Genomic DNA, 14,686 nt, shown 5'->3' with positions numbered 1-14,686 from the left:
AGGTGATCTTGGAAGTGGCTCCTTCCTCTGTCAAGCCTTCAGATGAGACTCCAGCCCTGGATGACACCTTGATTACAGTCTTGTGAGGGAGCCTGAAGCAGAGGACCCAGTTAAGCTATGTGTAGATTCCTAATCTACAGAAACTATTAGATGAAGAAATGTTGTGGCTTTCTTTTTTTCTTTTTTCTTTTTTTTGAGATGGGGTTTCACTCTTGTTGCCCAGGCTGGAGTGCAGTGATGTGATCTTGGCTCACTGCAACCTCCACCTCCAGGGTTCAAGCGATTCTCCTGCCTCAGCCTCCCAAGTAGCTGGGATTACAGGCATGCACTACCACGCTGGCTAATTCTTTTTTGTATTTAGTAGAGATGGGGTTTCATCATGTTAGTCAGGCTGGTCTCGAACTCCTGACCTCAGGTGATTCACCTGTGTCGGCCTCCCAAAGTGCTGGGATTACAGGTGTGTGCTACTGCGCCTGGCTGAAATGTTGTTTTAAGCCACAAAATTTGTGGCCATTTGTTACTCAGCAATAGATAACTAATACAGTAACCATCTTTTATATAAGCTCCTCTTATCATCTGTTTGCTTCTTTTTATTTTTTGAGACAGAGTCTTGCTGTGTCACCCAGGTTGGAGTGCAGTGGCACTATCATAGCTCACTGCAGCCTCAAACTCCAGGGCTCAAGAGACCCTCCCACTTCAAACTCCTGAGTAGCTGGGACTATAAGCATGCACCAACACAACTGGCTAATTTTTTATTTTATTTTATTTTATTTTTGTAGTGACGAGGTCTCGTTATGTTGCTCAGGCTGGTCTGGAACTCCTGGACTCAAGCAGTCCTCCCATCCCAGCCTCCCAGAGTGCTGGGATTGCAGGTGTGAGCCCCTGCGCCTGGCCTCGCCTGTATTTCTTACAACTCTGCATTTTCCCTCCCTTGAGCCAACCTTGAACTGCTTTGCTTCCTTCAAAACCTTTCTACTATACCTTCTGGAAACCTCACTCTATAGTTAAGAAGCTCCCCTTGACCGGGCGTGGTGGCTTACGCCTGTAATCCCAGCACTTTGGGAGGCCGAGGTGGGCGGATCACGAGGTCAGGAGTTCAAGACCAGCCTGACCAACATGGTGAAACCCCGTCTCTACCAAAAATACAAAGATTAGCCGGGCATGGTGGCACGCGCCTGTAATCCCAGCTACTTAGGAGGCTGAGGCAGAAGAATCGCTTGAACCTGGGAGGCGGAGGTTGCAGTGAGCTGAGATTGCACCACTGTACTCCAGCCTGGGTGACAGAGCTAGACCCCGTCTCAAAAAAAAAAAAAAAGAAGCTCCCCTATAGGATATAATATATTTGGGGTTTTTGTGTTTTGTGGGTTTTTTTTTTGTGTGTGTGTGTGGTTTTTTTTTTTTTTTTGAGGTGGAATCTCCCTCTGTCGCCCAGGCTGGAGTGCAGTGGCGTGATCTCGGCTCACTGCAACCTCTGCCTCCCGGTTTAAGCGATTCTATGGCCTCAACTTCCCGAGTAGCTGGGATTACAGGTGGCCCCCATCACGCCTGGCTAATTTTTGTATTTTCAGTGGAGACAGGGTTTCACCATGTTGACCAGGCTGGTCTCAAACTCCTGACCTCAAGTGATCCACCCGCCTCGGCCTCCCAAAGGGCTGGGATTACAGGCATAAGCCACTGCCCCCGGCCAGGTTTTGTGTTTTCTAGAATGGGATCTCAGTCTGTCACCCAGGCTGGAGTGCAGCAGTGCGATCATTTCTCACTGTGGTCTCCAACTTTGGGGCTCAAGCAATCCTTCCACCTCAGCCTCTGGAGTAGCTGGGACTGCAGGTATGAGCCACCGCACTTGGCTGGATATAACATATTTGAATAAAAAGGGAGACATACCTCGTTCCTGGATGGGCAAACTCATTTATTAAAATGTTAATACTCTCCAAATTAATTTATAAATTTAATGCAACCCAAATAATTTTTAGTTGATATTACATTTCTAAACTGTATCCCTTTAGAAGAGTAAACATCTAGAAATAATCAAGAAAATTCTGAAAATTGAGTAATGCATACCAACTATTCTTAGCACTTATTGAAAGACATTGTGAGGCTATAGGAATTAAACAGTGATACCAGTTCAAAACTGACAACTAGATCAGTGGAACACAATAGAAAGTTCAGAAAAAAACATTGCCTATGGACAATTTAGTAATTGACAGATATTTTAATTCATTGGTGAAAAGATAGATTGTATAATAAATGGTGTTGGGATAACTGGCTTGTGATTTTGGTGAAAATGAAATTGGATCTCTAATTCCTTACACCAAAATAAATTCCAGGTGTATGAGATAAATAAATAAATAAGGCTGGGTGCCTGGCCTAATTTTTGTATTTTCTGTAGAGACAGGGTTTTGCCATGTTGCCCAGGCTAGTCTCAAACTTCTGGCCTCCCAAAGTGCTGGGATTACATGCATGACCCACCACGCTCAACCCTGCTCCCCTTCTGGGAGTCAGTCTTGCATCTTGTCCCTAGGGGTGGGCAGCTTAGTCTGCTCAGGTGCCCAGGCCATATAGCCTGGGGTGTCAGAGGAACTGGTACTTCAGGTAGGACAGATATGTGTCCCAGCCCAATGTCAGGCCATTGATGTAGGTGACTCGGAACTGGGAGGAGGGGGGTGCACAAAGGGAAAGTTCGCCAGCGTGCAGCCGGCCACATGCACCAGTCAGCCTTGTAGAATTCCCAGAACTTGTCCTGCAGCTCCTGGCAGCTCTCTCCCAGCGTCTGGCCTTCCAGGCAGCCAAGGCCCAAGACGTGTCATATGCTCAGCATGGGAGAGGCTACCAGCTGATCGATCCATGAGGACCTTCCTGAGGGCATTTGGGAGGCCACAGAGGCCAGACACAGGGAGTAGGTGGTCCAGCCAGAGGTACCAGTAGTGCGGGAAAGGATCCACGCTGCCATCCACTGCAAGCATGCTCACTGAGTGCCACCTGTGGAACATCTGGTCAGGCTGGGTGTAGACCTCCCAGGACTGTCACACACCATCCCGGGCTACCATAAGCACACCACAGCCCAGTGTGTTGATGACCAGCAGCACACAGCCCTGGAACAGGGACTGCCCCATAGTCCACAGGCCATACGGCCAGTGCCAGTAACATTTGGCCCTGTTGTTACTCAGTTGTTGTCTGAGTAACATTTGGCATTGTTGAGCTCTCCCCTCCATTTGGAAGATTTGCCCTTGGTTTCTGTGACACCGTACTCTCCTGGCTTTACTCTTTACTGTTTGGCCACTACTTCTCAGTCCCTTTTGCGGGCCCCTCTTCCTCTGCCCTTTCCTTAGAATCTGGTGTTCCATAAGGCTATGTCCCAGCCTTTTTCTCATTTTTGTGGAAATAAATGAAGACCCACCAAATACGAAAAGCAAAGCCTATTTTTTTCAGAGCTTGCTATAGCAAGGGAGTCGGCCACCATCACTTGCCTATTGGCAGAGACTCAAAGGCAGGCAGAGCAGTGGTAAAGCTTTAGCATGGAGAAAAGGGAAGGCTTCAGGTGTGCCCTGACTGGAGGCTGTTGGTGGGGGAAGCTGGAGGTGGCTAGCTAGAAGCGGGGTAGCCTATGTGGTTGGTTGGGGATACATATTTGTCTGTCTCTGGTTAGTACTAAGTTGGAGGCAGGGACAAAAATTAGGGAAGCTGCTAGTTATTCATCAAGTCCTGGCCATTTGGGGCCAATGTTTTTTTTTTTTTTTTTTGAGACACAGTTTCACTCTGTCACCCAAGCTGGAGTGCAGTGGTGTGATCTTGGCTCACTGCAGCCTTCGCCTCCCGGGTTCAAGTGATTCTCCTGCCTCAGCCTCCGGAGTATCTGGGATTATAGGCACAAGCCACCACGCCCAGCTATTTTTTGTATTATTAGTAGAGATGAGGTTTCACCATGTTGACCAGGCTGGTCTTGAACTCCTGACCTCAGGTGATCCACCCACCTCGGCCTCCCAAAGTGCTGAGATTACAGGCGTGAGCCACCACGCCCGGCCGGGGCCAATTGTTAGAGAAATATTTGCTTAGCTTCCTGGATTGTCACTAGAGGTGGCAAGCTGGTTTCCTGCAAGTCTGACTTAAGGCAGGCTGGCTTCCTGGGCTGTTTATTGTACATAAGGAGTGGGCTTCCTGGACAGGTTAACTGCAGGTTGTAGGTCAGAGTTCTGTTTTTATATATGGTCTGGCCATTGTCAATTTGTACGTTCAGGCTCTCATTCTGTGCAGTCTTGGTAGACGACCTCACCCATTCCTATAGCTTTAATAGCCATCTACATGTTGATGGTTCCCAACTCTTTCGCTCTAGCCTATATTTCTTTCCTGCACTTCATATCCATATGTCCATCTACCTCCTGGAAATCTCCCCTTGGACATTCCAGACACTTAAAATTTGGCAGGTCCAAAATTGAATTCAGTATTTTCCCCAGAAACCTGTTCCTCTTTGGGTGTTCTCTGTCTCAGTGGATGGTTCTATCATCCACTCAGCTACCTCAGCCATTAAACCCAGGCTTCCTCTCCGACCCACTCTGTCAACCATCACATACCATCCATCACTAATCATGTTGATTTTTATCTCCTAAATATTCTATATGTCAGAGATTTGACACACAGGCTTATGGACCCTTGAGGATTCCAAAGCATTCATGAATGTGCTGAATTGTAGACAAAATTTGGTCTACAATATCTAGTGGCATTTTTCTGGGGAGAGTGTGCAGGCCATGGCTTCCATTCACAGACAGGTCTATGACTGAACAAAAGGTTTAGAACCACTTCTCCAAATGCATCCATTCCTCCTCATCCATCCTCCCACCCTGACCAGATGTAGTCACTACAGAGGACTATGTCTCCCAATAACAGCCTCTTTGCTCTCTTAACAGCTGCAAATAAGGAGGGGATCTTGCTGTGGCCATGGGCAGAGGCCAGCAGTGCTGGATGCTCTGTGCCCCAGGTGTGCCATTGTGGCCTGCTCCCCTCCCCACATGTCCACAGGTCACTTACTCTTTTTTCCTTTTCCTCCCCTCCCCCATCTCTCTTTCTTCATCTTCTTTTCTCTTTAGCTCATTCTCTTTCCCTTCCCCAGCTTGTCTCATGCTTCCTTAACGCTCTGATTGTAGGGCATTGGGATCTTTGACACACATAGCTTGAAGCCTCTTAAAACCAAGACTAGAGGCAGCATTCACCCTGCTCATTGGCTCCCACTGGCAGAGCCCTCAACACCCCCTCCATGGAAGAGGAAAGGGAAGTGGGAGGGAGGCTGAGCTTGGAGATGTGGGGCCAGTAATTAGGGAGACCTCAGCCCCAAGAATAGCTGTAGTGTTAGGAGGAATATGGGGGGCAGCTCAAAGAATCATAGACCCGAAAATCCTTGATTAAAACTTAAAGTTGGGAAGACATTTTACGTTCTCTAACCTGATCTTTCCCCCATCTCTTACAGACGGTGCTTGATTCCTTTTTTTCCTCAACTCATATTTCCAACAAGTCCTATTGGCTTTACCTCAAAATATATTCCACTCTGTTCTATTGATCTCTGTATGCATTCTTTCTTTAACACCACGGTGATTATTATAAAATGTATATTTGGTCTTCCCCATTTCCTGACATACAACTCCTAAAATCCTTTAAAATCTCCAAAGTGATGTCTTTTTATATGTCAATGAGTTGGCTGATGGCCAACAGCCCCTAGGTAGCTTCAGGATTGGGGATTGGTCCCCAAAAAACCAAGGCAGGATTAGAGAGTTGGGACTTTCAGCCCCATTTCCCCACCTCAGGGGAGGGGAGAGGGGCCCGGAAGGTTCAGCTGATCACCAATGACCAATGATTTAATCAATCATGTCTGCATAATAAAGCCTCCATAACAACCCAAAAGGCCAGAGCTTGGGGAGATTCCAGATAGCAAAACACGTGGAGACTCCTGGAGGGTGGCACACTCGGAGAAGGCATGAAGCACTGTGCCCCTTCCCACAGGCCTTGCCCCATGCATCTTTTCATCTATATCCCTTGTAATATTCCTTATAATAATCCAATACCCTTTTGCTGCCTGACCGTTGCCATCATGGGTCGCATGCATGCTCCTGGTGGCTGACGTTGACTTCCGATAACGTGAAGGAGAAGATTGACAAACTGGCCAAGGAAGGGCCTGACTCCCTCACGAATCAGATAAGGATGCTAAATTCTATCTGATTCTGATAGAGAGCTGGATTCATCATTTGGCCCGATATTATAACACCAAGTGAGTCCTCCCTCTTGATTGGAAATATGAGTCATCCACAGCCTCTGCCCTGGTCACATAAATTGTCTATGTACTCAAGCAATAAAATGATTGTTTAACTAAAAAAACAAAAATCTAATACATATAAGTAAGTGCCGGACGCAGTGGCTCATGCCTGTAATCCCAGCACTTTGGGGAGCCGAGGCAGGTGGATCATGAAGTCAGGAGATGGAGACCATCCTGGCCAACATGGTGAAACCTCGTCTCTACTAAAAGTACAAAAAAATTAGCTGGGCGTGGTGGCGTGTGCCTGCAGTCCTAGCTACTTGGGAGGCTGAGGCAGGATAATCACTTGAACCTGGGAGGTGGAGGTTGCAATGAGCCGAGATCGCGCCACTGCACTCCAGCCTGGCGACAGAGCGAGACTCCGTCTTAAACAAATAAACAAACAAAAAATAATAAATAAATAAATAAGTAAATAAATTATGTAAGTGTTTCCTTGAGTTCTGTGAAGACCGTGTCTAATGATGAAACTTTGACAACTTCCCCTTTTCCTTGTATCTGGAATAGAAACTTTTCTGTGAGCTACTCTAACAAATTAATGGAACTCAGTGAGGGGGTTGTGGAAACTCAGTTTATAGCCAGTCTGTCAAAATCACTGGTAAAACAACCAGGAGTCACATCTGAAGGCGGAGGTGAGGATGAGCGAGGGGAACATGGCATTCTTGGAGACAGCTCTCAACCTGTGAGATCTGACGCCATCTCCGGGTAGTTAGTATCAAAATTACATGAAATTAGAGGACATTCATCTGGTGTCCACAACAAAACTGATTGCTCATTTGGTGTGTGTACTCCCACACATCTGGTCACAGAAATCTGTGTTGATTGTTCTGTGAGAGCGGAGCAAAAACAGTTTGTTTTTTTCCACACTCAACCACACTGTCTTGTGTACCATAGCTTTATAGTACTGTGGCGTCTTGACATTAGATAGTGCGAATCCTCCAACTTTGTTTTTCAGTATTGCTATAATATAGCTTGCTGAGATTTTGACTGAAATGATACTGAATATATACATTAAGTTGGAAAGAAATGACATCCTAAAAATATTGAGTCCTCTTTTTCATGAACATGGAATAGCTCTCCCTTTATTTAGATTTCTTTCATTCATGTTTTGTAGTTTTGTAGATTTGGGTCCAGTACACATTTTGTTATATTTTATTCCTAAGTATTTCATTGTTTTACTGCTATTGAAAACAGTATTGCAGTCGGGCGTGGTGGTTCATGCCTGTAATCCTAGCACTTTGGAAGGCCAAGACAGGTGGATCACTTGAGGTCAGGAGTTCGAAACCAGCCTGGCCAACATGGTGAAACCCTGTCTCTACTAAAAATACCAAAAAATAGCCGTGTGTGGTGGCGTGCACCTGTAATCCCAGCTACTTGGGAGGCTGAGGCAGGAGAATTGCTTGAACCTGGGAGGCAGAGGTTGCAGTGAGCCGAGGTCATGCCACTGCACTCCAGCCTGGGCAACAGAGCGAGACTCTGTCTAAAAAAAAAAAGAAAAAAGGCTGGGTGTGGCGATCACACTGGTAATCCCAGCACTTTTGGGAGGTCAAGGCAGGAGGATTGTTTGAGGCCAGGCATTCAAGACTAGCCTGGGCAACAGAGCGAGACTCTGTCTAAAAAAAAAAAAACAAAAAAATCAGTATTGCTTCCCTAAAATTTCAAATTCTAATTGTTTATTGCTGGTATATAGGAAAGCAATTGTTTTTTTGTGTATTGACCTTGTACCCTGTGACCTTGCTATATATATTTTCATTAGTTCCAGGAGTGGTACCCCCTATAGATTGTTTGGGATTTTCTGCTATCCCACACATTTTAACAAATTGCATTTTTATTTTCACTTAATTTGAAATATTTAAAAATTTATCTTGAGACTTCTTCTTTGACCTCTATGTTATTTAGAAATTTGTTGTTTAATTTCCAAATATTTGGGGATTTCCCAGCCATCTTTCAGTTACTGGTTTCTATTTTATTTCTTTTTTTTCTTTTTTTTTCGAGAAGGAGTCTCGCTCAGCCATCCAGGCTGGAGTGCAGTTTGGCACAATCTCAGCTCACTGCAACAACCATCTCCCGGGTTCAAGCGATTCTCCTGCCTCAGCCTCCCGAGTATCTGGGATTACTGGCACCCGCCATCATGCCCGGCTAATTTTTGTATTTTAATAGAGATGGGGTTTCACCATGTCAGCCAAGCTGGTCTTGAACTCCTGACCTCAGGTGATCCGCCCGCCTCAGCCTCCTAAAGTGCTAGGATTACAGGCATGAGCCACCACACCTGGACGGTTTCTGTTTTATTTCTATTGTGGTTTGAGAGCATACTTTGTATGATTTCTATTCTTTTAAATTTGTGGGGTTTTTTTTTTCTTTTCTTTTTAGAGACAGGGTCTCACTCTGTCACTCATGCTGGAATGCAGTGATGCAAACATAGCTCACTGCAACCTCGAAATCTTGGGCTTGCGGGGGTCTTCCTGCCTCAGCCTCCTGAGTAGCTGGAACTACAGGTACGTACCACCATGCCCAGCTATTTTTTTTATTTTTAATTTTTTTGTTGAGACAGGGTCTCGCTATATTGCCCAGGCTAGTCTTGAATGCCTGGCCTGAAACAATCCTCCTGCCTTGACCTCCCGAAAGTGCTGGGATTACCAGTGTGATCGCCACACCCAGCCTTTTGAATTTGTTAAGGTGTGTTTTATGGCCCAGAATATAGTCTATCTTGGTGCATGTTCCATGTCAGCTTGAGAAGAATGTGTATTCTGCTGTTATTGGATGGAGTCTCTATAAATTTTGATTAGATCATATTGATTGATAGTGCTGCCCAGGTAAAAATCTATTCCAAATCTGTCCACATATCTTTCTCCACAATTACTATCCTAGCCCAAGCTATCACGGTCTCTTGCCTGGACTGTCTAACTGGCTTCATAACTAGCCTCTTAGCTGGCCTTCTTGTTTCTGGTTTTGCCTCCACTATAACCCATTCTCCATACATCAGACAGAGTAAGCTTTAAAAGACAAAATTCAGATCATGTCACTTCCAGCTCAAAATCCTCCAATGGCTTTTCATTGTATCTGAAATAAAAACTAAATGTCTTCCATGGCTGGCGTGGCCCTACACCATTTTACTCCAGAACTTCTTTCCTACCTCATCTAGTACCAGTCTTTCCTCTTGCTGCCTCCAGCTGGACTTCTTTCTGAATTCCCTTGAATACACCAAGCTCATCTCTCACCCTGGGATCCCATGCCTCTGGGCCCTCATGAAATGACTGACAACTTCTTGTCATTCAGGCTCACCTCAACTCTCACCTCCATGGAGAATCCTTCCCTGACTAACCTATTTCATCTTGTTCTCCATCCTCACCCTATTATACTACCTTTGTACTGTTTTTTGTTTTATTCATTTGTTTTCATAACACTTTTGACTTTTTGAAATGTTCTTGTTCATATATTTGTTTGGTTGTTTGTGTCTGTTATCCTTTCTCTAAAATGTGAGCTCTAGGAGAGCAGGGATCTTCTTCACCACTAAGTAGCCAGAACCGAGAACAGTGCCTGACACCTAGATATTTACTGAGTGGCTGCACTTCTACTTGAACATTTCCAGTGACTTGGAATTGACTACTTTGGTCCATGGGGTGGCTAGTGCCTCTTTGGATAGTTTTGTATGTTAGAAATTTCACCTGTCTCTTGAACTAAATGCTGCATTCTTGACCATGTAAACAGATTAGAAGAGAAATGTATGATCATTAGAAAAGATGCTGATGAAGCATTTGGTAAAACTTAACTCCTGTTCATAACAAAAGAGATTCTTAGCAAGCCGGGCACGGTGGCTGACACCTGTAATCCCAGCACTTTGGGAAGCTTAGATGGGCAGATCGCTTGAGCCCAGGAGTTCCAGACAGCCTGGGCAACATGGTGAAACCTCATCCCTACAAAAAATAGCCAGGTGTGGTGGCATACACCTGTGGTCGCCGCTACTTAGGGGGGCTGAGGTGGGAGAATCTCTTGAGCCTGGGAGGTCAAAGCTGCAGTGAGCTGTGATGGCGCCACCACACTCCAGCCTGGGCAACAGAGCAAGACCCTGTCTTAAAAAAAAAAAAAAAAAAAAGGAATGAGAGGAAACTTCCCTAACCTGATAAAGAGTAAAGACTATCCTCCAAAATCCTCCGAATCCTCCAGTGAAGACCATGTCTAATGATGAAACATTGACATCTTCCCCTTTAACATAAGTAACAGCACAAGGATGCTCATTATCATCCCTTTTGGTCAGAATTGAACTGGAGATCCTGCAAAACAAGGCAAAGAAACGAAACAACAGGAATACGGATTTAGAAGGAAGAAACAAAACTGTCATTTAAATCTTCTGCCTTCTCGGGCGGCTCACACCTGTAACACCAGCACTTTGGGAGGCCGAGGCGGGAAGATCACTTGAGGTCAGGAGTTCAAGACCAGCCTGGCCAGCATGGTGAAACGCTGTCTCTACTAAAAATACAAAAATTAGCCAGGCATGTTGGTGGGCACCTGTAATCCCAGCTACTCGAGTGGCCGGGGCAGGAGAATTGCTTGAACCTGGAGGCAGAGGCTGCAGTGAGCTGAGATCATGGCACTGCACTCCAGCCTGGGCAACAAGAGTGAGACTCTGTCTCTAAATAAATAAATAAATAAATCTGCCTTTTCATAAATCGTACTCACTGGTCCTCCTTCTTTTTTCTGGAGGCCCACAGAACAAAGCTGTCCCCTCTTCTGCATGGTAGCCCCAGGTCTTCTTCCCTCTCTGGGCCTCGATCACCTCATCTGTAAAATAAGGTTATCCAAAAAGCTCCTTGTGTTTCTATCCTTCCATGCTCCTCTGAGTCCATATCCTCCTTTCTACGGGCAAAACATCTCCGTTTTCCTAATAGTGATGATTTCTACATCCCTCCTTTCCTAGCAACACACTCCATTTTGTTTTGTTTTGCTTTGTTTAAATATGGTGCCCAGAACTGGAGCAGAAGGTGAAGAAAGGCGAGGGCACAAAAAGATGAAAATAGAAGGAGTTAGACTGAAAACAGAGCTTGAAAATGGTAGAGAGAGGCAGCCAAGGGGAAGGGCTTGGGGGAGGGAGGACAGAAGACGCAGGGGACAGCCTCTGAGACAGAAGTGGCCTGGTGGGGCCAGCCTGTGGGCAGTGCCCCATCTCCTTAACTTATTTCCCTGGGAGGGGAGGAAGTTCCCCTCCATAGTTTGGGAGACGGTGATGGGCACAGAGTCTGTGGTCAGCCACAGCCCTGGGTGGCTCTGCCGGTCCTCCCTTCCAGCTTTCCTCCTCCTGGACTCCAGGACTCTCTCTCCCAGAGCTGGGGTGGGGGTAGGGACAAGGGGCATTGACAAAAGCCAGCTCCAGATGGGAAGGGGAACTGCACAGCATTGGGTCCATGTCCAGGAGGCAGGAGCAGCCGCCACAGTGGGAGGGAGCAGCAAGCCAACAGCTGAGTGCGACAAGGCCTGGGTTATTTTTTTTCCAGTTTGTTGGCATGTGGGTGGATTTTTTTCTCCTTTTTTCTTCTCTCCTGCTCTCTGCCGTTTCCACAGAGATGTGGGAGTTTGCAAATTTGTCTCAGTGGAGGGGAAAGGCAAGAGCTGATTTTGGGGGTCCTTGTCAGGGACCAGGGGAACGGAGAAGGGCACAGCAATTTTGGCAGCAGAAAAAGCAGGACCCATTCCCTGGCGGCATCCCTGGGGCAAAGAAGGCTCTCACTTTCTCCTTTTGTCTTGAGGCTGCAAGGATGCCTTTTCACCTCTCCTCAGCTCTTGGCTCTCAAATCCATCCCACCTGGTGATTGCAAAAGCCTCCCTCTGCTTCCTTTCTTGCTCTGCAGTGCCAAATGCACTTTCCTCGGGGCCCTGGACCAACTAGGGCCACTCCTGAGACTCTTCTGACCAGAGGCCGCTCTCCTTGTTAGTATCTCTGGGGGTTGGGCTTGTGGGGAGCTGAGGAGCTTTCTTTTTTTTGAACTATACATTTAAGGGATAAAAAACGGTACCTATAGCACATGCTAAGTGTCAAATGAGTGTTTCAGGCTTTCAGAGGGGGAAGTTTTCTGAAAGGATTAAGGGGTGAGTAGTTTAGCGAGTCTGGAGGACATGGGACCTAGACAAACTGACAGAGTAGCTGAGGGCATGCCAGCCAGGGGCAACAGTGGCCGGGGCTGTGGACCTGGACACCTAGATGCTGATTCTGGTTCTGCCATTAATTTGTAATGTAATGCTGACGAAGGAAATTTTTTCCCTCCTCTTGGGCTTTGTTTCCTCATCTGGAAAATGGGCTGGATCTCTAAAGCTCTACAGATCTGTGCAGACTGAATCCTGATTCCTGGCATCGAGGGTTAGGAGCCATGTAATGAGATCATGTGTATACGAGTGCATTGAACACCATCAAGGAGTAGGCTTGCCTGAGACTCAGAGGTTTCTTGAGATGTGGGTCTTTCAAGTGCTAAAACAATCTTGGGCAAACGGGTATGGTTGATCTCCCAAGCAAGGACCACATCCACTAGTTGTTATTATCATTATCATTATCATTATCATTATCATTATCATCATTATCATTATTATTACCACTAGAGGGCAATACTCTCTTATGCCTGGGAGTAGGTCTTATCCCACCGGAAAGGTGCAGAACTGATCCCTCATTCCAGGACCAATCAGATCTCTCTCTCTTTTTTTTTTCTTTTCTTTTTTGAGACAGAATCTTGCTCTGTTGCCAGGCTGGAGTGCAGTGGCACGATCTCGGCTCACTGCAACCTCCGCCTCCCGGGTTCAAGCGATTCCCCTGCCTCAGCCTCCCAAGTAGCTGGGATTACAGGCGCACGCCAACACGCCTGGCTAATTTTTTGTATTTTAGTAGAGACAGGGTTTCACCATGTTGGCCAGGGTGGTCTCTAACTCCTGACCTCAGGTGATCCACCTGCCTTGACCTCCCAAAGTGCTGGGATTACAGACGTGAGCCACCGCACCCGGCCCCAATCAGATCTCTCAATCTTCCTCCTGGAGAGCAGAATCCTGAGAAATAGAGAGATTTGTGAATTCCGAATTCCAGGAGTTTCCTTTCAGTTCTGCCCTGTGGTCTGACTGCCAATTGTGCCCGAACCCGAATCAGCAGGTGGTGGCCAGTCTGTCCCACTGTGGCAGAACTGCCTGCTTCCTAGGGGACTGGGGAAATGGAGAGATGCTGACAAGTAGCTTTGGTTTGTCTGAACACAATGGGCGCTTTCACAAAGCTATGCCGTTTGCCCCATGCTTTGATTGTCTGGCCGTATATGCGTTCTGCAAGGCTAGCCAAGGCCAGCTCCATAGATGCAGGAGCTGGCCTCCTCCTTTCTAAAGAAATGATTTCAGCCAGACACGGCGGCTCACGCCTGTAACCCCAGCACTTTAGGAGGCCAAGGCAGGCAGATCACCTGAGGTTGGTAGTACGAGACCAGCCTGACCAACATGGAGAAACCCTGTCTCTACAAAAATACAAAATTAGCCGGGTGTGGTGGCGCATGCCTGTAATCCCAGCTACTGGGGAGGCTGAGGCAGGAGAATCGCTTGAACCTGGGAGGCAGAGGTTGCAGTGAGCCGAGATCTCGCCATTGCTCTCCAGCCTGGGTAACAAGAGTGAAACTCTGTCTCAAAGAAAAAGAAAGAAAGAAATGATTTCTCTATTACCCTATACCTCTTATCACATTGAATTGTAGTTATGATTTATCTGTCTACATAATCGATTAGGTTGTCGATTCATGCATTCAACAAACATGGACTGCTTATCCTGGCTTTTGGCCAGGCTTATGATACAGTGGGAAGCAAAACACAGTATCTGCCCTTGTAGAGCTAACAGTCTAATGAGGAGGCAGGAGGTTAGCAAACCAAGAACTGCACAAATCAATATAGAATTACAAACTTGCTAAGTTCAGGAATGAAAAGGACTCACTGAGAGAATGTATCAGAGGGATCTGCCCAGTTTGGGAGTGAGAGAAGGTGCCGCTGATGAGCCAACATTTCATCTGAGATTTGAAGGATGAATAGGCAGTTTAGTGGGCAAAGGCAGCAAAGAGAACTTTCCGCGCCAAAGGAACAGCAGGTGTGCAGGGCCCGAGGTGGGAAGAGCCTAGCTCCCTGGAGGAATGTTTGCTCCTTGAGGGCACAGCTTGCCTCTGGTTTATCTTTTACTGTAGCTCCAGATCTGGCACATAGAGAAACCAATAAATGTTTGTTGAACTGAATTGAATGAGATTTTGTTATGGAAAGCATCATAGGTTGGGGGTTGAAAGGCCTAGCTTCTACTTGCAGTGCCTCTGGGCAATTCAGTTCCATTTTCCAACTGCTTACTGTTCACCCACAGTGGGCAAGAACCCAGGGCCAAGCCTGGTTGGGGGATTGAAAGGT

General features: G+C 46.6%; 1 pseudogene; it reads right to left on the bottom strand.

Annotated features, from left to right (window-relative positions):
- Nucleotides 1-2,571: 2,571 nt before the first annotated feature.
- MPV17L2P1 (MPV17L2 pseudogene 1) lies at nucleotides 2,572-3,113 on the bottom strand (annotated as a pseudogene).
- Nucleotides 3,114-14,686: the final 11,573 nt, after the last annotated feature.

This window comes from Homo sapiens, chromosome X (assembly GCF_000001405.40).
Source record: "Homo sapiens chromosome X, GRCh38.p14 Primary Assembly".
In the NCBI taxonomy this organism is placed as follows: domain Eukaryota; kingdom Metazoa; phylum Chordata; class Mammalia; order Primates; family Hominidae; genus Homo; species Homo sapiens.
Note: the sequence above shows the minus strand (reverse complement) of the source record. Positions and strands in the feature narration are given on the sequence as shown.